The sequence below is a fragment of the Homo sapiens genome, chromosome 7 (genome assembly GCF_000001405.40).
Source record: "Homo sapiens chromosome 7, GRCh38.p14 Primary Assembly".
Classification (NCBI taxonomy): Eukaryota; Metazoa; Chordata; class Mammalia; order Primates; family Hominidae; genus Homo; species Homo sapiens.
Window position 1 is genome coordinate 28,802,275 of NC_000007.14, and position 24,087 is coordinate 28,826,361.

The window sequence follows — 24,087 nt, forward strand, 5'->3', positions numbered from 1 at the left end:
GACCGCATATTAACATACAGTCTACCATCCTTTCCTCTTGTTTTTTATTTATTTTTTTTCTTAGCAGGTAGAGGCTCTTTATGTTTAATTAAGGATTTTGATTAATTGAATTGGTATTTTTCAATAGTGTATGTAACTGGTTGAGAATCATTAATATTGTACAGTGTTAGAGCATAGTAGCTTTGATCGTCATTTAAATACAACTGTTTCCTTGCCCAGCAATTATACACCACTATCATGAATCAGATAAGAACACAAATCTGGAAAGAACTTGCAGTCCCCTGGTAAATACTTCATGAAGGCAATGGGAGCTTGCCAATTAGACAATCATCTCTGCATAAGATATATTTCCAACGAGTAACTGCATTATACAGTCCTTAGCACATTATGCCCCTCGGGATATGATGATAATTGACTGTGTCACAGAAGAAACAATTTTGAAGAAACTGGGACTAAGCTGATTATCAACTGAATCTTTAGAACGGGGTTAGCAAATGATGGCCCAAGGGCCAAATCTGGCCCGCTGCCTAATTTTGTCCAGTGTATGAGCTAAGAATGGTTTTCAAGTTTTAAGTGACTGGGGAAAAAAATCAAAAGTAGAATAACATTTCTGACATGTAAAAATTATATGAAATTCAGATTTCCTGTCCCTGAAGTTGTATCAGAACATAGCAGATTCATTCATTTATACATTGTCTGCAGCTGCTTTTGCACCACAGTATCAGAGTTGAGTAGTTGTGACACAGAAGATAAGAGAAGAAAATACTGACTATCTGACTCTTTATAGAAAAAGTTTGCTGACCCCTCCTTTAGACTCAGGTACAAGTTATTTGTGTGCATGTCTGCTTATGAATGGATAATGCTTTTGTGTTAGAAATACATCTGGCCAGTTGATGTGGCCATCAAAGGAGGTGCAATACTTCATATTCTTCTATTTTCCTCACTCCCTTCTCAAAGTCAAAAGAAAGCTATTGAGTGAGAAAAATTAAGAGTATTGGAAGGGACCATAAGAAAAATCATGGTAACAGAAAAGACCTACACATTACCTCCGAAGCTTGTAAATTACTAACTCTAATTTTAAGCCCTAAAATCAGATTAGCTCTCTACTTTTTAAAATTTGAAATTATTTATTCTCTGTGTCTGAGAAATATTTTGAGAGGCAAGAGCATTTGTTCTTGTGACTCTTACAAGATACAGTGGCTGGCCGGGCACGGTGGCTCACGCCTGTAATCCCAGCACTTTAGGAGGCCGAGGCAGATGGATCACGAGGTCAGGAGTTCAAGACCAGCCTGGCCAAGATGATGAAACCCCATCTCTACTAAAAATACAAAAATTAGCTGGGCATGGTGGCAGATGCCTGTAATCCCAGCTACTCAGAAGGCTGAGGCAGAGAATTGCTTGAAGCTGGGAGGCGGAGGTTGCAGTGAGCCGAGATCGCACCACTGCACTCCAGCCTGAGTGACAGAGCAAGACTCCATCTCAAAAAAAAAAAAAAAAAAAAAAATTAAATACAGTAGCACACCAGATGGAGTCTCTTTGTTCAGTGCTATCACCATATTGAATGGTGCTCTTTGGTGTATGCTTGCATTCAGTTGTAGATACGATATAATGCATGATTGGATAATAGGAAATACCTTTTAGTAGAATGTATGATTCTTGATAGGATATCCTGCCCATTGGCTTTGACAGTTGAATTAACCTATTTGGCTGACATTGACCCTCCTACTGACCACGATATATAAGAAAATATGAAATTAATATAAAAGCTATCTTGTACTGGTAGCAAGATAGCTACTGGTAGGAAACATTAACAATAGCATCGTAAAATATAGAATTGAAAATGTGAGTCATTTTGCTTTTAAATCTCTATCATGTACATGACTGACTTCAGTTGTTCTCTCTCCTCCCTTTTGTTCTGTTTCAGAGGTTGAAGGCTGCATTGACTCACCACCCTGCTGCCATGTCAAATGGGAACATGAACACCATGGGACACATGATGGAGATGATGGGCTCCCGGCAGGACCAGACGCCACACCATCACATGCACTCGCACCCGCATCAGCACCAGACACTGCCACCCCATCACCCTTACCCACACCAGCACCAGCACCCAGCACACCATCCTCACCCTCAACCCCATCACCAGCAGAACCATCCACATCACCACTCCCATTCCCACCTTCATGCACACCCAGCACATCACCAGACCTCGCCACATCCGCCCCTGCACACCGGCAACCAAGCACAGGTAGACCTTTTCCGTGATCTCTTTCCCCTTCTTATTCTCCTTCTTAACAGTGCAAGCTCTAATGCTGGGGTCATTTGCAGCAATCTTGTTTGACAAGCCCAGGTGTTCTATCTCACATTCTAGGGGCTCTGTTTATCTCCTAGGAGGCAAGCCTTACCCATAAGACCCTACCAGATCATAATTTCTATAAATAATACACTAAAAAATATCAGGTCTAGTCTCTAAGGGCAAGCATAAACTTTAAGTTCTCCAAAATCTATTTTTGCAGTGTGTCAGAAAGTTAGCCCCTCTCAAAAGTAATATGAATCAATGGATTAGGAAGAACTTAAGCTTGTGAAGAAAGATGTGAATTAAGAATGAGAAAAACGAGTTAATTCTAACCCTGGTTCTAGCTGCTATGTTTTAAAACATCATAGAGACTCAATTTTGTCACCTGTAAAATGGAAGTTAAATACAACAGGCAATCTTCTGAGTAACAGTGAATGTTAAAAATCTAAAGAGTAACAATTCAAGGCAGACAAAGAAGCTCCATCATGGATGCTAGGGCGTAAGGTGCTGTGTAAATGGTGAAGAGAGGTGACTCATCCCCCTGAATGAGAAATGCGTTGGAGGGAACAGAAAGAGAGCCAAGTTCTGTAGATGATCAGACCAAGAGAAAGGCCAAATCCCAGTGGGTGAGAGTCACCAGGAGTGGCTGCAAAGAAAGCCAGCATTTAGACAAAACTGAAAGAGGGTTGGGGGACCAGGCAGACATTATGTCACCCACGGCCAAGAAGAGAGGCGAGTCCTGTACTGGAGTGAGTTTTAGTAAGTGGATGAAGGGCATGTCCAGGAGCATGGCTGGGCCTAGACACTTTGGATCCTCAAGCAGAATGACTTTCATCCATACCTTCCACCCAGTCCACACTGCCAGCTTCCAACCAGCTGAATCAGAAGGGTGTCGGAAGCATGGAACCGCCAAAAAACACTTATTCACTGTCTCCTCTGTCATCTGCCTCTGGAGACGTGACTTTATACCCGGCAGCTTTTTGAACTCTTGAGCCCCCCTCCATTAACATGCACCAAACCTGGACAGCCATCCACAGAATGGGTCAGGCACAAGCAACTCTCGAAGCTATTCATTAGATAAACTGTCTTTTGCAAGGTTCTTAGAGGTGTTCTACATTGTGAATAAGAATTGAGCATTAGAATGAGATAACCTTAATTTTTTTCCTGCCTTCCTCACTGTGTGATTGTGAACAGAAACAACCTCTCTACCCCTCAGTTTTCCCATCTGTAAAATGGGGCTGGGTAATAGTAGACTAAACTCCTAGGCTCTTATGAGTATTAAATAAGAGAATCTCTGTAAAGCCCTTGACACAGTGTTCAAAATATGTTATTCCAAACCAGTAGAAGTTTAGCAAATTGTATAGCAATCAAATGCTATCCAGAGAACATTTTTAGTCACATTTTTAGTCAAACGCCATACTAGAACATGTATTTAGAAAGAAAAAAAAAAACTACAAAGTCAATGATGGGCAAATTGATTCACATTTGTACTTAGTTTATAAGGAAACGAGAACATCAAGGTTTGGTTGCCTTTATGGGCAAGTTATTTCACAGAGCAAGTTATATAACAATTCTTTGAATATAAAAGCCATTCACTAGCTAATTACCAATTAGCCAATTGCCCTCTGTTTCAAGTCAGTAAGTGGCCAATAGTATATGCAATTAGTTAATTGCTATTATAATTAGCTTTATGAACAGTTGCTTTTTTTAATTGTATGCTAAAAAGAAAGAGCCCAGGTTGGTCTTGCTAAAATTTGAACCAGATCATTTAGGCAGTATCCCAAAATACCACTCTTAAATTGTATTAACTTGGCTGATTACTGAGATCTTGCCATTTTGCTTAATTGTATGATTATCTGAAAGTAGGAATAGAATCCTTTGAACTCTGAGATTCTAAGGTGATTTGGAATAAAATCTGCCTTTTTGAAATTATAATTTATTACTTTTGATCAAAATTTTCAGAGCATCTATGCCAAGAGAATTCTGCTTTAAAAATAAAATTACAAGCGACAATAATTACCAGGTATACAAATTCTGGTTTTAGGGTTGTATTTGCATTTTCTCCTGGCTTCTTGTGCTCCTCCTGCATGTAAGGATGTGATTGTAGAGTGCTGGTTTCAAGGAATTTCTCTTAATCAATCCTGAACCTAATTACACCTGAAACCACGTCACTTATGCCTTTGGGTGAAGGCACAGGAAAAGTATCATGGGTTACAGGTTGATTAAACTTAGGGTAGGAGGATACAGAATTGAAAGATAAGTCCCTGCAATGGAGATTAAAAATCAATTTTTTCCTATTTGAGGGTTTTGTCTGGGGCTGGCAATAAGAGATTATAATTCACAAAAGGAAACAGTTAAAGGCAAAAATATCCGAGCAGTTAGCACATTCCCTCTTAATGCTTTTCTTTGCAGTAGTTAGCTCAGGAATTAGCATCTGGAATGACAAGTGCTAAGCCCCTGCCAATAACAAGGATGACGCCTTCACTAGCAACTCTGATGAGTAAGACCTTAGACAGTTAATTTATTTTGTTATTCCTCTATAATCGGGAGGAAAAGAGTCACCAACAAACAAACAGTTCTAGAAAATGTCTTTGCTGGCCTGGTGCGGTGGCTCACGCCTGTAATCTCAGCACTTTGGGAGGCTGAGGCGGGTGGATCACGAGGTCAGGAGTTCAAGACCTGCCTGGCCAAGATGGTGAAACCCTGTGTCTACTAAAAAACTACAAAAATTAGCCAGGCATGGTGGCAGGCACCTGTAATCCCAGCTACTTGGGAGGCTGAGGCAGGAGAATCGCTTGAACCTGGGCAGCAAAGGTTGCAGTGAACCGAAATCGCGCCACTGCACTCCAGGCTGGGCGACAGAGAGAGACTCCGTCTCAAGAAAAAAAGAAAATGTCTTTGCTTTGCATAAAATTACTAAGATGCAGTTCAACCTCAACCCTGGGCCTGATTCTTTTACAGTTAGTCATAGATGGTTTGATAGAGTTTTGGATTAAAATACATCACCATCAGTCAACTGATGTCAACCAGTAGCCATTATTAGTGCAATTACAGTCATTCTGATTGATTTCAATCATAGTGCTGCAATGTGGTAGAAAAGATTGTTGAGCTTCATTTTTAAAACTTTTGGCCTGTTATTTCTGCAGGTTAAATGTCTCTTGTAAAACAACTTTATAGGTATTACCGTCATAAACCTGAGTGACTAAGAAATGGGAGAGGAAAAAAAAAAACACCTTTTATTGAGAATGAAGAAGGAGGAAGGAGTGAAGTGCATGAGGGAAAGCATTAGGTGTCCAGACATATAAAGAAAAGAGTCAGGTGTAGAAATTTCACAAGGTGCTGTGTGTCTGCCTTATGAATAGAAATAAAGCTCTATGTGTGGGGGTCTCCAAGCCTTAGATGTTGCTGAGTCCCACACAGACCTTGCAAGGACTCTATAAGCATAGTAAAACTTTTTAATAAAGTGCTTTGCCACTCAGGATTTCCTTCTAATGTAACTGTATGGTAATGCACAAGCAACTCTCACTATCTCACACACACACAGTGTGACAGGGCTCAGTGCTGCTTCAGGCATCAATTTAATGCTTTCAAAGGCCCAGCTTCCCAATCACCTAGAAAGCTCTCCTGGATCTCCTTTCACCCTGGTGAGCGCTCTGAGGGGCAGGCAGGCCCGGCTGGAGTATGCAGGTCCAGCTAGTCCTCTGCATTAAGAACTGTGTAATAGTCAAAATAGGATTTCATCTGCTTTCCTGGCTTCATGGGCTTCTTTTCATAGGAGTCACAGTGGCAACGATGTCCCAGAGGTATGTTAGGAACACAATTTTACCACTATTAGAATGAAAGGAGCCCACAACCTGCTCAGAGGTTTTCTGTAGATGACAGATGAGTCATCCATATTGTGATAATAACCCTGACCTTTCTGTTTTCACCCTGTAGCCATACATTGGCTATTTTAAAGTTGTTCATTTGTTTTTGTTTTTGTTTTAGAGACAAGGTCTTGCTCTGTTGCCCAGGCTGGAGTGCAGTGGCACGATCATAGCTCATGGCAACCTCAACCTCCTGGGCTCAAGCAAGCCTCCCACCTCAGCCTCCTGAGTAGCTAGGACTACAGGCATGCGCCACCATGCCTGGCCAATTTTTCCTTTTTTTTTTTTTTTTTTTTTTTTTTTTTGTAGAGACAGGGTCTTGCTATGTTACCTAGGCTGGTCTCAAACTCCTGGCCTCAAGTGATCCTCCCGCCACACCTGGCCCTTACTTTAAAGTTTTTAAACACACCGTCAGTAAAACATTTTTAATAGTTGAAGGAGAAAAATAAATGTTTCCTCTACCATGATTCGGCCAAATGCCTGTCAGGGAAAAATCCATCTGACTACATCTTTTCACGAGTCATTCCTATATCTTGCCAACACATCATAGAATATAGGTCAGTGATGCTTTTCCTTTTCTTTCATGAGTGTGATTTCATCGTCTGTTTCATTCATAGGAGGCAAGTCTCATATGCTGACTGAAACGATAGACTTTCTGTGCTTTGCTTTTTAACATCAGCTTGGGTTTCTTCCCTTACCTAACCACGTCCTTCCCTATCCCCATCACCTCCTCCCTCTCTGGCCCAGCAGGTTTCACCAGCAACACAACAGATGCAGCCAACCCAGACAATACAGCCACCCCAGCCCACAGGGGGGCGCCGGCGAAGGGTGGTAGACGAGGATCCGGACGAGAGGCGGCGGAAATTTCTGGAACGGAACCGGGCAGCTGCCACCCGCTGCAGACAGAAGAGGAAGGTCTGGGTGATGTCATTGGAAAAGAAAGCAGAAGAACTCACCCAGACAAACATGCAGCTTCAGGTGCAGCCCACGGTGTCTTTCCCCGCGACTCAAAGGCCCTCTGCTCCACGGGCATTTCCGGCCCTGACAGGCACTTGTTGACCTAAGCAGTGATACCACACACTTAGTCCACAGAGGAGCCGCAGCCCCACTCCTCGAGTTTTATTAATTCCAGGACACCCTGCAAAACAAAATTAACCATTCAGTTTTCAATCAATTTGCCCACAAAGCTCTGAGAAGGGGGGACCTACCCCACTAAGTTGTAGGGGTGGGAGAACAGGCTTTAATCCGACAGAGATCCAAACCATGGTTCAGCAATTACTTGCTAGGCTTAACTCTCTGGCTCTCAGTTTCTTCCTCTACAGAATGGGAATAATAACTTTATAGAGTTGTTACGTTAGGAGCAATAAACAAACTAATGTCTCCAAAGCAGTTGCCCAGTGCCTGGCCCATAACAAACCTTCAGCTGAAAAGGAGCTTTTCATTAATTATATTCACTAGGTTGAGGGGGTTGCCTTGGCTTATACTTGATTATCTCTATTTTTGTTTCATGGAAGAAAGAAAGGTTGATGGTCATTATGTAGCTCTGAAAGAAAAGGCATGTTTTCATCTCATTTGCCAACTCACCAAGATTTGAATCTTGCTTAATTTTTGCTTTTTATGAATGTCTTAACTGGGGAGATTTTATAATGAGGCCCAGAAGTGTCTGGGAGTGTCTAAGAGGAAAGGAAGGAACTCTAGTACCCAGGCTTCTCCAATAGACTTTATAGATTATAATGATGCAGTTCAGAGCATTTGTTCTAATGTTAAAAATATGTGCACTATTTATCAGCAGAAAAAAAAAAAGGCAAGTAAATAGACATGTATGCAACCCACAGTCCAGGGATAGCATTAAGAGTTGTGGATTATACTCCAGTGCTTCCAGAAGCTGAGAGAATGGCCAAAGAGAGTGGGGCAGGGAGGAAATTACCCTACATAGTGAGACTGCATTTTAAGAGTTCATGGGGTCCGGGCGCAGTGGCCTACACCTGTAATCCCAGCACTCTGGGAGGCTGATCACTTTGGGAGGTGGCTGGATCACTTGAGGTCAGGAGTTTGAGACCAGCCTGGCCAAGGTGCAGAAACCCCGTCTCTACTAAAAACACAAAAAAAAATTGCCAGGTGTGGTGGTGCATTCCTGTAGTCCCAGCTACTCAGGAGGCTGAAGCAGGAGAATGGCTTGAATGCAGGAGGGAGAGGCTGTAGTGAGCCAAGATCGCACCACGGTACTCCAGCCTGGGCAACAGGGTGAGACTGTCTCAAAAAAATAAATAAAAAGAGTTAATGACTAGGCATTGGTAGGTCACTTTTATCTTCTTCCCACACCTAGTTCTCTGTGCATCCTTAGAAAGGAACAGTTAGGGTGCCAAACCCCAAAGCCTTTGCATATCCAGTTTCATTAAATGGAGATGGCTTGGGGTTTCCAGTGTACAAATTGAAAGTATATAAGGAAAGCATGTGTTGTATGAGGGCCTGAATTTCATAATTTATGGATGTTCATTTTTCCCCCTAAATGTGTCATTCTTTTTGTGATAGACATGATGAGAAAGAAACTGGGAAACATATAGCAGATGTGAGGAAAATAAGATAATGATTCCCCCACTAACTTGTATGCCGCGGGAAGATTGGGACTGTCTCTTACTACTCCCTCCGCCCACTATCTATCTATCTGCTGTTTATAGTGTAGTGTCTACACTCAGTAACTTATTTGTTGAATAAATGAATGGGTTCCCCTGTTTATAGTATAGTGTCTACACTCAGTAACCATTTGTTAAATAAATGAATGAATTCCTCATAGCTGGAGTGTCTAAGAATTGGCTGCTTGACCACTTGGCAAGGATGTGATTGCAGGGAGTCAAGCCACCAGAGAAATGGCTGGACTCAACCACCTTTAAAGCCACTTGTAGAATCTGACAGGCACAGTAGTATCTGAAAAACTTTTAGGTAGAATGTGGTTAAGCATTTTTCTTTTTTGAGACTTGTCTCAAAAAAGACAGACCTCACTCCATTGCCCAGGCTGGAGGGCAGCTTACTGCAACCTTGACCTCCTGGACTCAAGTGTTCCTCCCACCTCAGCCTCCCAAGGTGCACACCGCCATGCCTGGCTAATTTTTTTTCTCTAGAGACAAGGTCTTATTATCTTGCCCAGGCTGGTCTCAAACTCCCAGGCTCAAGCAACCCTCCCACCTCGGCCTACAAAAGTGTTGGGATTATAGGTGTGAGCCACTATGCCCAGCCAAGCATTTTTAACATTAATAATCATATTTTAATTTTGATGTGTATTGAAAAATATAATTAGAAGATCAAATCTGCAGTTTCAAAGATATTAGTAAGAAGGCTAAATCATTCAAAATTGAGTTAATTTGCACAAACATGTTAAGTAAATAAAAGTTCTTGTATATGTGAACCTAGTAAATATTACCGCAGTGGTTCTGCAATAACTGAAGTGGGGGGAATCCCAGGAATTTGCCACCATCTCTGAGGTCTGCAGAAGGATGATGCAAACATGTAGGTTTTCTCAATCTTGGCCCTATTGACTTCCGGGCTTGATCATTCTTTGTTGTGCCCTGTGCATTGCAGGCTATTTAGCAGCATCCTTGGCCTTTACCCACTATATGTCAGGAGCACATCTTCCAACTATGACAACCAAAGAGTCTCCAGACATTGCCAAATGTCCCCTGGTGGTGGTTGGGAAGGGAGGTTGGGTGGCAAAGTCAGCCTTAGTTGTAAACCACTGCTTAGATGAAGGAGCCAAAAATAGCCAGCTGGCACATATCAGCTGCCAAGGCTTTAAATCAGTTTTAACTAAAATGAGTCTTTGCAGAATTCCTTCAGGGTATTGACTGTGATCCTAATGCATGCAAACATGGAAGGATCATAGCAGAGAGCCAGGAAAGTAAAGATGTCCACAGACTTTGAGGCCAGAGGTGTTCGTGACTTGGCATATGCGTATTTATGATTGCTTTTACAGAACATACAAGGTAAATTTACCCTTCGCTAGACCCTAATGCACTGATTTTTTTTCACATTTCTTTAGAGCCAAATGGCTAAGGAAAAAAAGAAACTAGAACTCTAGCTCCCAAAACCAGAAAAAAAGATCCTACTGAGTTCATGTAACAGGCACCAATATCTTTTGGTAGTTAAAACAGTACCCAAAAAAGGGACAGTCTCTGAACAGACTAAATTGTTGATATTTTCCAACCACTGCTTTGCCTTGGAGGGACAGAAGCCACAACCACCCAGTGTTCTCTGTGAAGCTGAGTGTCCTGCATCAGGCCCCGGGATGCTGGAGAGGATGCTGCAGATTCCGCTACCTTTGAATGACCCTTTCCCTCTCACTGGACCTTTGTCAAAAGAAAAAGGTGTCTCTCTTGAGGCTGGACCAGTGAGCCAAATTTTAAGTAAACAGAAATGGAAGGTGCTAAGCAAACAAACTCCAGCCAAATGGAATATCCAAGGTCTGGATGGCCAGCTGCCACTTTTGAGTTGTTTTCCAGCGTAGAACCCTCTAGTTAGGCTGCAGCATTTCAGATTGGAAAAACCAGACCTAAGAAAACAAAATCAAACTCCCAGACTTCATTTCCTAGTCTCACAACACATCTCTGCCCAAGAGGTCAAAAAAGGTATAGGAATTGGGGAAAATATTAGAAACCACCTAATCTGACATTTTGTGGAGAAAGAAACTGAGGTTAGGGAAATGGGGGGTCTTCCCTAATGTCACACAACAAGTAGGTGGCAGAATGAGGACTCAGGGAAGTCTCCTGTTGACCTAACCCACTTCTTTGTGATCTTCTATTTTAGAAACTCCGTAAGCCAAAGAAATCCATGTTCTTTTTTCTGATACCAAGGGACTAAGATCAGCTCTAAATTCATCGACTGCTGATGTGGTACTCAGTAGAACGTCTGTGTTCAGTAGAGGATATGGAAATCATCTGGTCACCCATGGAAATAATTGCTTTTCTTTTTTAGTGCAAAGACACATGGTCTAAGTTGCTGCTGAAATTTTGGACACATGAGCCCAGGTCTGGGACTTGGCAAGCGAATAGGCCAGATGGGAACTGTTGCTTGACAAATTGAAAGTTCTTTGTTTCAGAGTGAACCAAACCTGGTCTCAGCTAATCTACCAAAACAAAAAAGCTGGGGGAGGGTATATTGTAGAGCCCATTTTGATAATTATTTTTTTGGCACAAACTACTGCTTACACCAAAAAGCATTGTGGATTTATCATATAAATAATGACATCCCCAAAGCTGAACACTGCAAATGTAGCTATTAGGGACTTGTTGGAGTGCTTGCTGAAAGTATGTTTTTGTAGTATTGAATATCTCTGTGGCGTGCTGCTTCATCCCAAGGCAAACTATGGGTTTAAAAATAGATCAGTCCAACTGGATCTTACAGTCGCTAAACAGCTAACTGCTTTAGAGGAGCAAACTCAAATTCGTTTAGAAAAATGAAAAAATGAAGAGTTGATTTCCACCAGACAATCAATACATATTATTAATACCTTGTATTTACAAAATACTTTTATATTAAGACCTAAAACTCTGATTATAACCTTCATAGGGGAATACAAAATGGTGATTTTCCTCAATTTATAAAGCAAGGTAATTCAGAGTAAGAAAATGCCTCCAGAAGGCCTGGTTTTTATTTCCCTACTAGACTTCCAGGCCACATTTGATTTCTTGTATGCATTTTGAAACATTTGCTATCTGGTTGTTCTCTTCCAAAATGAATTCAAGGTGATTCCACTTACGTTCCCTTGAAAAGCGTTTTTACTTAAAATATAGTCTAGTATTTGTGCATTTCCTACACTAATCAGTCTTTCACTATGGAATCCTTAAGATGATTATGCATGTGCACAGCACACAATTCATTCTTCTTTCTCTAGGATAGTGATTCTTGACCTTTCTTAAGCCAAAGGCCCCTTATGAAATATAATGAAGGCTCCGTAGATGCTCTCTCAGTAATATGGACACATAAATGGACATAGAAAATTTTGCTCTAAAATGAAACTATAAATGTTGCTTTGGAATCTGCCCTACTAAGATTTAGAAGCATAAGAGGTGCTAGAACTGGCTCCCTTATGAAAGATAAGACCTGAATTATAAGCATATTTGAGCATATTGAAAGTAGCTAAGTAATGAATAAAAGTCAAGATGGACTCTTTCATTGGATAATTGGGTAATTTGCTTTCTCAATAGAAGGTGACACAGAATTGCTTGTAGAATAAAAAAAAATTCTTTCTGGAAGGAACTTTCTGGAAGTAGTTCAACCATCGTGTTTTATACTTGGTTGGCATGGCAGCTTGGGAACTCAAACCCTATTATTCTCAACTCTCAAGTGAGAGTTCCTTTTCCTACTGGATGCTGCCCCATGAATTTCTATGGCTTATGTGGTTATTAGGCCTTTATTTAGTCCTTGCAGCATCATAGTTATATGTATATGGATAAACAAGAAGCTGATTGCCCTTCTCTACTGAGGACATTAATTGGTGTTCATTTTCCCACAATAACATGGCTAAATAAGTATTAACATGTTACATTAAGAAATATGTCCTGCCAGGCACAGTGGCTCATGCCTGTAATCCCAGCACTTGGGGAGGCTGAGGCTGGAGAATCACTTGAGGCCAGGAGTTCAAGAGCAGCCTGGGCAAAATAGCTACACCCCATCTTTGCAAAACATTTTTTAAAATTAGGTGGGCATTGTGGCACATGTCTCTAGTCCCTGCTACTCAGAAGGCTGAGGTGGGAGGATTGCTTGAGCCCAGGAGGTAGAGGCTGCAGTGAACTATGATGGTGCCACTGTAGTCCAGCCTGGACGACATAGCAAGACCCTGTCTCTATAACAATAAAAAAGAAAAAAAGAATATGTTCATATTCACATATATCTTTAAATGATGGTCAGTTGTCTCAATATTCTCAGGGTTCTGCATTTTTACAGATCCTCACAACACTCAGGCCTTTGGTCTCTGTACTTACAACATATTGCTTTATTAATAAAGTGTTTTGCTGTTCATAGACTAAATGCCACCAAAGTCATATACTTTGTATGGGGTTTTGGTGATAGGCCAGGGCACCACATGTGCTGACTAGTGCTCTTTTTATAGTAAAACAGACTTATGAAAGCAAAAATTTATTGTGAAACTGTTTGGGGCATGCCAAATATCATAGGCAGTTAGCTCTTTGCTAACTGTAGAAACCCAGAGAATAGAATTGAGTGTTTTCTTAGGGAAGGGGCAATGAACACTTTGTGCCTGGGAGATCGAATGCTGCCAAGAAAGGGTTTCATTGCCCAGGACATAGTGGGGGAAGAAATGGAGACTAAATTCAACCTCTCCAAGATGGCCACAGGCAGGGGTGTTTTTTCTTCCAAAAGTATAAGAAAGCAAGAGAACCCAGTTTTGTTTTTAATACTTTTCTTGTTTGTTTTCTAGGTAGAAAAGTGTGGATTCACTAGAAATTAGAACTTGATTCCATTTTCTAAGATCCATTGTCTACATTATCTGCAGCTGAGAGCTTCTACTCAGGGGGCAAGGTGTCTAGCAGTTTCGATTTCAGAAAAGTGTTATTTCTGTAGTCTAAATGCAAATAATATGACATTTCCTTCTGAAGCAAATATATACGCACACACACACACACACACACACACACACATAAACACATCTCTGTTTCCTTTCTTGGTTTTTGTTTGGTTGTTTTTTTTTAACCAGAGATTGCCTTCATTTGATGGTCTAGAAGTGACTTTCTTTTATATGTGCTATTTTGAGCAGAAGGAGAACTGAGAAAAAGAAGGAAGGCCATCTGAATTTAGATAGGTGTAAAGTCAAAGAGGAAGAAGTTAGTGTTTAAGGCTAAAATAAATTGTCCTGTAAGTTATCCCACTGACCTTGGAATTGACAGGGTCACTTTTGGTTTCCACAGAGCCCCTTATCAATCACATTCATTTGGAGTTGGGAGGTACAATTTGCCTTCTTGTATGTTCTGAGATGTAAGAGCAATTTTCTTGTTTGATTAAGTGATTTATTCATCATTAAGGCTAATTTCCCAAATAGTCATTTTTATTTTGTAAAAATAAAGTTTGGAAGAGAAAGGGAATGAGATGAGATTTGTAGATGAGATTTTTATTATTTTGTCATTGTTTTATTTTATTATTTTTGTTATTAATGTTACTCAATATGTGGTTGCTTATAATTTATTTCACCAAGAAATTTAGAAATGGGAGATATTCCTTAAAACAGATTTCAATTTTTTTTAGCGCAACTTCTAGAATCCCAAACATACTTTCCTAGGTGATAAATACATGGCTGAAAAGCCAAGTTCATATTGAAAGTGTAGGTACAACTTAATGACAGCAATGTTAATCGTCCTTTTCGGTGTGCATGCATTTTTTAAGTCTCCTACATGTGAGGTATAATGCCTGGCAGCCACAAATAAACCTTGACCAAAGAGAGGATATTATTGATCACAATTTTTAAGTGGCTTATTCAAGATAGTGCTACATTTACGTTCACTTTTATCAAGTGGAAGCATCTCGGAGCTACCATCTATTTTATGTTTATATTTGTAGACAATGGGTGCCAAGTTCATTATTCTACAAAGCTATGAGCATGCCTTTGTGAATTAATATTAACAGATAAAGTAGAGATCCGAGGCACTTACATGAGTAAATAAGAAGAAAACCCCACACCATCCACAATATCCTGATATTGAGGGGGGAAAGAGTATTTTATAGACCGAAATTGACCAAATAATCAATGAACTCAATCAAATTAATTCAATCATGGCCCAAAACTTCATTGCCTCCTTGCCACCCTGAGCTGACATCATCCACCTGCAGCTGACCAACATGTGTACTGTATGCTTCCATACCTCCTGCTCAGTGGGCATCAGGCAGGTAGATGTGCTCTGCTCAACAGTATCCCATGAACAGTAATTGAGTAGGAGATGGTGGGGAGAGCAGGGATTCATGACTGAAGGTCAATTTATTTTCAGATATTCTTTTTAGATTGAGCAACACAGACTTCTTTTGGAAAATCTGATGGTAGATGAGTCAGCTTATTCTGATTGCATTTCAGGTGGAAGCCACAAATCCTACCACATAATTCTGCCCAATGTGCGCCTCATATTCACATTCTCAATTGGATGTAAACCTGAGCTTGTGAAGGTTACAATAGTTAAATGTATTAAGTCCTTATTATGTGCTGGGTATTGTTCTGTTTCCCATCTATTACTGTATTTAATCCTCATAGTAACACAAATAATGTACTCTTCTTATCCCCATCTTATAACGAGGTTGCTGGAGCTCAGCTGGGTTATGTAATCTACCTAGGGTCACACAGTCAGTGTGGAGTAAGGATTCTCACCTGGCTTCGGTTCCCATCACCTAAGGGTGTGGTCTAGCCTTTTAATAAGGTTCAGCTCTTGAGTTAAAACCTAAGCTCTGCAGAAAGCCCCTGGGAAATGTGAGGGCCAAATTAAAGGTAAGCTACAAACTTTCAGGTGAACCACATTAAATAATATTCTTAATGTCATTTAGACATAATGGAAGAGTTTGCCAGTTTTGTTGTTGAAAGTGCACAGGGCTGTGGGTTTGTATCCTCTGGTCTTCTCAACATGGTTTTAATACATATCTCTTTTAGAATGAAGTGTCTATGTTGAAAAATGAGGTGGCCCAGCTGAAACAGTTGTTGTTAACACATAAAGACTGCCCAATAACAGCCATGCAGAAAGAATCACAAGGATATCTAAGTAAGTCGCCGACTTTTTCACTTTTCTTTAGTGTCCAATATTTTTTGCCACTAAGTTTGCACTGAATTTGATTGAAAGAGCAAAAGTAAAGTGTAGATTGTACTTCCAGGCAGATATACAAGAATTCTTGAGTGGCTTCCAGACTATTCTTCCAAGGGGATCCCTTTTTTCTGACCCCTGTGCAACACCATGCCCACCACCTCCTGATAATTTCTGGCCACTCCTTCCCTAGCATTTCAAAGTATCAAAAGAAATACCAAATTCCAATTTTGCAGCCAGTAAGAAAAGAGCCAGCTGAAGCCCAAGTACCAGTGGCCTAGCAGTCGCCTTCAGAAATCTGTGGTCTGGGAACCAGGCCTTGGGTGAATCATATCCAGTGCCTCCAGAAACACTGCATGTTACTCACTGGGCTGAAAAGCTAGTGACTGGCCTCAGTTTACCAATATGTAAAATGATCCCTTCCTTCAGACCCCAGTTTCTGCATCTGGAATGCCAGTTGGTTAAATGATAGTTGAGTAGGGATGGTGGGAGGAGCAGGGATTCATGGCTGAAGGTCAATTTATTTTCAAATAATTTTTTAGATTGAGCAACACAGATTCTCCCACCACATGTGAGTATTTTTCCACATTTGATATACGGATGGCTATTTAAAAAGACAAAATGGGGAAGTTCACATATCCATGACTGAAACACATCAAATCATTTTACTGATACAGAAAGCATGGCTTTGCTCGTAGATATAAACTGGAAAGGCATAGCATTGTGACAACAGTTGAAAATAAAGTTTTGAAATTAACTTTCAGAAGAAAATGTGTGAAACTTCTATTTCAAGTAAATATCTAGTACAGTTTCTCTGAGGAGTCCACAAGTCCATACAAAAAAGACCTATATTGGTGTGTGTGTATGTGTGTGTGTTGTCTTTTTTTTTCTCCCTAGGTCCAGAGAGTAGCCCTCCTGCTAGTCCTGTCCCAGCTTGCTCCCAGCAACAAGTCATCCAGCATAATACCATCACTACTTCCTCATCGGTCAGCGAGGTGGTAGGAAGCTCCACCCTCAGCCAGCTCACCACTCACAGAACAGACCTGAATCCGATTCTTTAAAATGCACCATCAGACCTGGCCTCCAAGAAGAGCTGTAGCGTACCATGCGTCCTTTCTTTTAAGGGCATTTTTAGAATTAACTCAGACCTGGAAGACTCCTCAGTTCTTCAAAGACTGGCTTTCATTTTTATAGTTATTATGGAAATGTTGTCTTTTATACTTAGTTATATAAGAAAAAAGGGAGTTATGCAATTAATATCTATCAGCTTGGGAAACGCTTTGGTGCTTTTCTCCAGTTTTCTGGTACCAGTTACTTGTTTATAAACTGAACCTTTTCTGTATATAGCCATGGTTTCATTCTTATCAGTCCAACCCTTTGCCTGAAACATTGAATCTTGTTAAACCACAGCTTTTAGCTAAAATGAGGTATACCTAGATGTCAAGTAAGACAGATCCAAGGTAACTGGGTAGGAAATCTTTTGACATCTTAACTCATGTTGAGTTTGTGCTGTGGTGTCACCAGAATTCCAGATAAACACACAGCCTTTCCCATACCTTTTTTTTTCTTACTATAAAATATTATAAGATCCATTGATGTCCAAATAATACCACCAAGCATCTCTTCACCTCTCCTCCTCTTGGTCCACTTGCTAATGCCCAGTTTTCTTCTCCATTTCCACTTTTTCTTAGGCTCCCTATTTACTATTCATTTTGACTTCCTTCTGTTTTATTTTTTTCCCTTTAGCATTGCATGTGAATAAGAAAATAATGTTTAAAGAAAAAAAAAAAAAAGCAAACCTCCAAAACGTGGACCTAACCATTGCTTCACTTACACTTCACCCACAGCTGGAGTTCATTCAACTCTTGCTTTTCACAAAATAGTAACCAGGAGATGTTTAATGTGCCTGATTTAATGTTTTTAATAATCACAGCAAATGAAAGGTGGTTTAGTTATAAGTGAAGCATGGTTGAATACCAGCTGGGGAGACACTAGGGAAGGGAGCTTTGTAAGCCTTGATTGCGAAAGTCCAAATTTTGATGTGGGGCTATAACATGACACCCTTGGATTGCGACTGGTTTTATACGGCCTGCCTATAACGTTGAAAATCCATGTACTACATAATAATTCAGAAGGGCTCTATTCACTACACAGATTACATTGTTCAATCATCAGCTGCTAATAGCCTAAGATTTATTTTTTTTTTTTTCTTAAGCCTATGGAACCGGCTTTGCTGTTCTGGGGGGTGAAAATAGACTAACTACTGGAGAAACAAAGAGAGAAAGAAAACCCAGTGTTTCCATAGGGGCACTTTTAGCCTTCCCACAACAGTTAAGCACTCTTTGACTGCTGAAGGAACCCCATGGATGAGGTGCAGGCTACTTCACTCTTTTTTTTTCTTTTTTGAGACAGAGTCTCACCTATTGCCCAGACTGAAGTGCAGTGGTGCGATCATGGATCACTGCAGCAGCATCCTCCGAGTTCAAGCTATCCTTCCACCTCCGCCTCCTGAGTAGCTGGGACCACAGGTTCACATAACCATGCCTGGCTAATTTATTTTTACTTTTATTTTAAAATAAAAGATGAGGTCTGTCTTATGTTGCCCAGGCTGGTCTCAAACTATCCTACTTCTTCCTCCCAAAGTGTTGGGATTATAGGTGTGAGCCACTGCACCCAGCCTACTTCACTCTTCTGAATTATTCTGATTTATTTTCAACAACTTTTGTGAACTTGCCCGTGATACAAAGCAGATAGTCCCTGAACCACAGTCGTGCCTCCTTGAAACAAGCCATTCTACTGTGCTAATGTTTTAATATCACATCTCACAAATAACAGGGGTGAATGTTTCTCTCTAGCAATCTAGGCAGGTGCTGGTGTTTCATCTCCATTTGAATGCTTGACCTCTTAATGTGTGTGTGTGTGTGTGTGTGTGTGTGTGTGTTCATGGGTTTTAAAAGAACAGTATTTTACAAAAGGTGTAGCTTTTATAAGAGTGCAGAAAAGGGAAGGATGTGTTTTTTTCTCTCACTATAGTATAAGAATCTATTTTGGAGAAAAAAAGAAAATATGAGGGTCTCGAAGCATGATTTTTATATAACTAGTTTCAGTTTTATCTAATAACTTACTTTTTAAATCAATATTTATCAACAATCTTTCCTTGTATGCAGTGCTTTCAAAAGATGGTTTTGAGTGTCCAGTGAAACTTATGACTTGGATATATGGTTGAAGAATCAAAACAAAAGCAAAAAAAAAAAGCAAAAAAAGAAAAGAGAAAAAAAGAAAAAATGCAAATGGAATAATTTTCTATTATATTTTAGACAAACATATCATTTTCGAGTATTTTAAATACTGAATTCATAGTTGTTGTTTTTTAAATTCCAACAGTAACAGCTGAATGGTTTAATCTGACTGGCTTCCTAAGAAATGTTTAAGACTCAGCTTTAAAAAGAAGTTAACATTCATATCTCTGTTTTGAAATCAAAAATCATATTTCAAAATTCTTTCCTAGGACCATCTATGTGTCTCCCCTCCCCTCCACAAAAAGGAGAAAGAGTGCATTAAAATGTTTAGTTGGGTTTTTTAATTTTTAATTTTTATGTTATGTTTTGCTTTGTTTTAAGTAAACAAAAATTTTTCTTTCTTTACTGCATGCATAGCACTTAATAAAATGGATTTTTAAAAAATCCACTAGTAATATCAGAATGTCCAGGGAGTGACTGTCACTACAATGATGGTTTAGTTTACTTCTGTTCCACCTTTTGATTGAAATATTTAGTTGTTAGGCTGAAAGCCTCGGCAGTTAAGAACTTGCCTGAGTTTTCTTCGTTCAGCAACTTGACAGTTTGACTGATGTGCATTATATATAGCTCAATTATGTCTGTTTTTTATGCTAAGTAGGAAAACCAACCACACACATTAGCAAACCGGCCTCAACATATAATTAGAATAAACTGTCTTCTTGTTCTACTCAGGGCCTTTAGGTGTGTTCATTCACGGTATGGAAATACAGTAAATGAAAGATTCCAACTAGTTGTCAGTGCTTCTTGAAATTCCAAACAGAAAGATACATTGGTCAAATCCAACACTTGGCTTATCAATATTAAGTCTTTTACCTAAAGGCCCAGCCGTCACCAGACAACAGAATAATCAATCTGCCTGAAAATCCCTCCTCCTTGTCCTACACTTTTTGCCTGTTTGGGAGAATATCTTTGTACTCCATTCTCCTCCCTCAGCCAGTTACTGGGTCACCCATCCATGTGTTCATGAATCAATCATCACGGCCTGCAGAGCACCTGTCCTAAGGAGGGAAAATCCTGTCACACTGCCTCTCCCCATTCGTGTGTGGTTTTCTTGATCGGTGAGATCTGTCTCTGAAGTCACTGCCAGCCTCCCTGGGAACGTCTATAGTGCCTCCCCTGCCTTATGTGATGGGAGTTAACAACTCAGATAAGTACACCTGAGAGCATTTCTATCAGGTAAACTGTCACTTAAATGGAGGTGTCCACATCTTAATTGTTTCTCCTTGACACATTTCTCAATCCACGAAGCCAGGAGAGGTAGAGTGAAAATCCCAGCCATGGATGAATGTACTAATTTGAAAGCCAAGTGTTAAGTCGGATGTTTTCCCGTTACACTACTACTCAGCCCTCTCCTGCGGCCACATCAACGGATGCAAGTCACAGTCTTAACACAGCCTGTGGGAGACAAGCAGTTTGTGTGCTCACAGTATATATTATAGTAATTAGGGTGACTTAGAGCAAATACTCTTCAGATCCTATGTAGTCAGTGAAACAAAATGGAGAGCGTATTCTGATAGAAGGACGTCGACGGTGAATGTTCTGGTGGTTGTTGCCTGTTAAGTAAACTTTAGTGTGTAAGTTGAGTTTGTCATTAAAATCATAAACCAGCTGCGGTAACAGACAAGCCTTTGGCTGGGGAGTTTTAAGCCTCGGTAACTGCTATAAAACTAGCCATCCAGTTAGGATAGAATGTGTTTCTTTCTGGTTAAAAAAAGGAAAAACCATCTAAGAAAATATATATGTATGTATGTGTGTATACAGTGGAATTCAAAGGACCAAAGCAAAATTTGAACAGGAATCTATTAATTTAGAATTTTATAAGATATTTATTAATAAATGTTATTTTTAAACATTCCATTTGAACAGTATTCTGTAGGATCTACTTGTTTTTAAAGTGTTAGTCCATAATAAACTACTATAGTTATGTGTATTTTCATTTTTCAGGGTTTCAAATGGCTATTCTCCATCATTTGGTGGAAATGTTTGCTTAGATCTCTGTGCATAGACATTTCAAGGATTTTTATTGCTCTGTGAGTTATTTTTTAATCAACATTCTGAACAGTTTTTTTTAAACATTTATTTCTGTGTGTTCATTTTTAAAGTAAGCTCTTTCATTTAGGAAGCAGAGTTCAGCTAAAGGGAATCAGTAACTCTAACTGGAACAGCTTTCTTGTAGAAGTGTAAAAACAGCTTCATCTCTGCCTCTCTCCACCCCACCCCAATTTCCTAGAAAGCCTTGCACTATTCAGCTCCCTTAGTGCTTTTTGTCCCTTCCCGAACAATATGCAGTAGCTTTAAGCCATTCAAGCTCCATTATGCAGTATATCTGAGAAGGGAAAGGAAACAACCCATTTAAATTTGAATAAAACCGTGCCTATGCGAACAGTAGCAATTTAGAATCTCTTTTCTGCTTTTAAAATAATTTATATTTAAAAATTGCACTTTAGCTTTTTGATCCCTTTGTATTTCTCTTATTCTCTTTCTAACCTCTTCTCTGTCCTCAAACTTGCCTTTGCTCTCCTTTACAATACCCCCCACCCCTCCTCCAAGGCTCTGAGCGGCATCATTTAAAATACTTTACAGATATTTGCACCAGGTACATTTATGTGCGTCCATTGGTAGCACAGCTGAGACCTGTGTCTCACATCAGCCTAGGTGAAGCCTACTACAAGAATGCCAAGGAGAAGAGCCAGTACACTATATGGTTTATACTCTTTATCCCTTTATTCATAGCATGTTTTTTAAAAATGTTATATTATGCAACAGATGTGAGGCAGCAGCTAAGCTATACTTAAGAATTTTCTCTCACCTTCCAAACCAAAGTGTCCTGAATAAGCCAGGAGACTTATTCTTTTGTGCACCCTGGTGCACATCTGACTGTTGTCCTAGCCATAGACTCTCTGAGGCCACTGAAAGAACAGTGGCCCTATCGATTTCATTCCTAGGTCTCAAAAATACAATGTTGCCTTGTAACATAATTAGGGACAGCACCTCTATTTCACAATTATAATCTAAGGTAGGATAAGACGACACAGCAGCAATAAACTTACAAGTAAAATTCAATACCAAAACAAACACAAAGAAATTTAAAAAACAAAAAACCTAGCTCATCATGTTGTGAAAATGAAAAAGTGAATGTCCATTCAAAATATTTTACTATTTCTTGTGGAGTTTTTCAGTGATGTAATGCTTGTAGCCAAATTGCTTAAAGAGTGTTTATATATTTTTTTCCTTATAAATTGTCTATTTTTTAAAAAAGCTATTTAACCACAGCTGAAGTGGGGGGTAAGGCCAAATTGCCAACACTTGTTAAAAGATTAATACTCTTAAGTGGCACTCTGATACCTTTCCAACTTGTCATCAGAAAGGAATCAATAATTACCAACTGTTGTATTTAGACCAACTTACAATATCTAGCTCATTAGAAGCCAGGATCTAGAAAGCTCCTTCTAAGCCATTTAAGATATTCTTACATTGAGCTTCATATTATAGAACTTTATAGGATTGGATATTTTACAATAGAATAATTTAGCCTCAGGACTGAGAATGTGGAAGCTGAATAAATTAGCTTTAAATACATCATTAAAATCTTATGCACAATAAGCTCATTAGATTCTAGTTTTCTCCTTTAGAATACCAATGCCACAGACACTACAGGAGATAATGAAAGGTATCAGTTGTGTTGAGTGGAGGGAGTTTAAGAGAAAGGACCCTTCCCAACCAGCAGCCAGTAGAAAATACAACCTACTCACCTTTTTCCCTTCTAAGTTCTGCTAAATCACATCTGCCTCATAGAGAAAGGAATGTTGCCTTTGAGAACTGTCTTGGAGAACAGATAAGCTTGAAATGTTCTCTCTAGAGAGGACATAGGGTTTGGGATCCTCTGAAAAGGCCCAGAAAAATAGCTCAGTTCAAATACAATGTTCTAGGACAATTGGAATATAAATATTGTCCAAAAATATAATTAAAAGAAAAAAGTTTAGCACTGTGTAAAGTAAGTGTTAACTGAGGAAGTCCCAAAAAGGTGCTGTCACTTTAAGTTCTGGACTTGGGGTTCTTTGTATTTGTAAACAGCAAAGCATTTGTGTTTGTTTGTCTATTTGTAAAGCAACCACCTTCCTTATTGGAAGGAGAAAAAAAGGGGTACATACATGTAAATACTTGCTGCAGCATTTAATATGTTTAATTTTGTGTTAAGCTTTTTGTTGCATCGTGAACACATTTATTGTTACCAATGGACAATGAGTTCATTAAGACTGTTCAACTAGGTCAGATTTTTACATCTCTTTCTAGCAAGAAGAGACAAGATTTTGTGCATTTGTACAAATGTTAATATCACTGCAATTCCAATATAATAAAGCACTCAAATGCAAATAATATATGTCACCTTTGTATGATGAAATTTGGGGTTGGGGGTAATGACATCTATTCCTCACATAGTCTTGTCAGAGGCATGTGAACCAGAGCAACTCCATCTTGAATAGGAGCTGGGTAAAATAAGGCTGAGACCTACTGGGCTGCATTCCCAGAAGGTTAAGGCATTCTAAGTCAGTGGATGAGATAGGTTGGCCCAAGATACAGGTCATAAAGACCTTTCTGATAAAACGGTTTGCAGTAATGAAGCCAGCTAAATCCCACCAAAACCAAGATGGTGACAAGAGTGACCTCTGGTCGTCCTCACTGCTACACTCCCACCAGCGCCATGACAGTTTACGAATGCCATGGCAACGACAGGAAGTTACCCTATATGGTCTAAAAAGGGGAGGCATGAATAATCCACCCCTTGTTTAGCATATCATCAAGAAATAACCACAAAAACGGGCAACCAGCAGCCCTCGGGGCTG

The 24,087-nt window shown here is 39.8% G+C and overlaps 1 protein-coding gene across 13 annotated transcripts in view, besides 1 other annotated feature; it reads left to right on the top strand.

Moving 5' to 3' along the window:
• Positions 1 to 23,620, top strand: part of CREB5 (cAMP responsive element binding protein 5) — a 526,574-nt gene extending 502,954 nt beyond the window's left edge. For 10 of the 13 annotated variants that reach the window (NM_182899.5, XM_017012807.2, XM_017012808.2 and 7 more), the window contains 4 exons: positions 1,925 to 2,248; positions 6,913 to 7,140; positions 15,797 to 15,905; positions 16,842 to 23,620. In NM_182899.5, coding sequence (NP_878902.2) covers positions 1,925 to 2,248; positions 6,913 to 7,140; positions 15,797 to 15,905; positions 16,842 to 17,005 — 825 coding nt within the window. In that variant the 3' untranslated portion in view covers positions 17,006 to 23,620. Of the gene's footprint in view, positions 1 to 1,924; positions 2,249 to 6,912; positions 7,141 to 15,796; positions 15,906 to 16,486; positions 16,711 to 16,841 lie in introns of those variants that run through there. The other 3 variants (XM_047421068.1, XM_047421069.1, XM_047421070.1) reach the window with 1 other exon arrangement.
• Positions 13,506 to 13,685: an enhancer, noted in NCBI's record as "active region_25800". NCBI's record gives its function as "activates an Ori minimal core promoter by ATAC-STARR-seq in GM12878 lymphoblastoid cells {active_cell/tissue: GM12878}" and the evidence as "EXISTENCE:reporter gene assay evidence [ECO:0000049][PMID:35858748]".
• Positions 23,621 to 24,087: the final 467 nt, after the last annotated feature.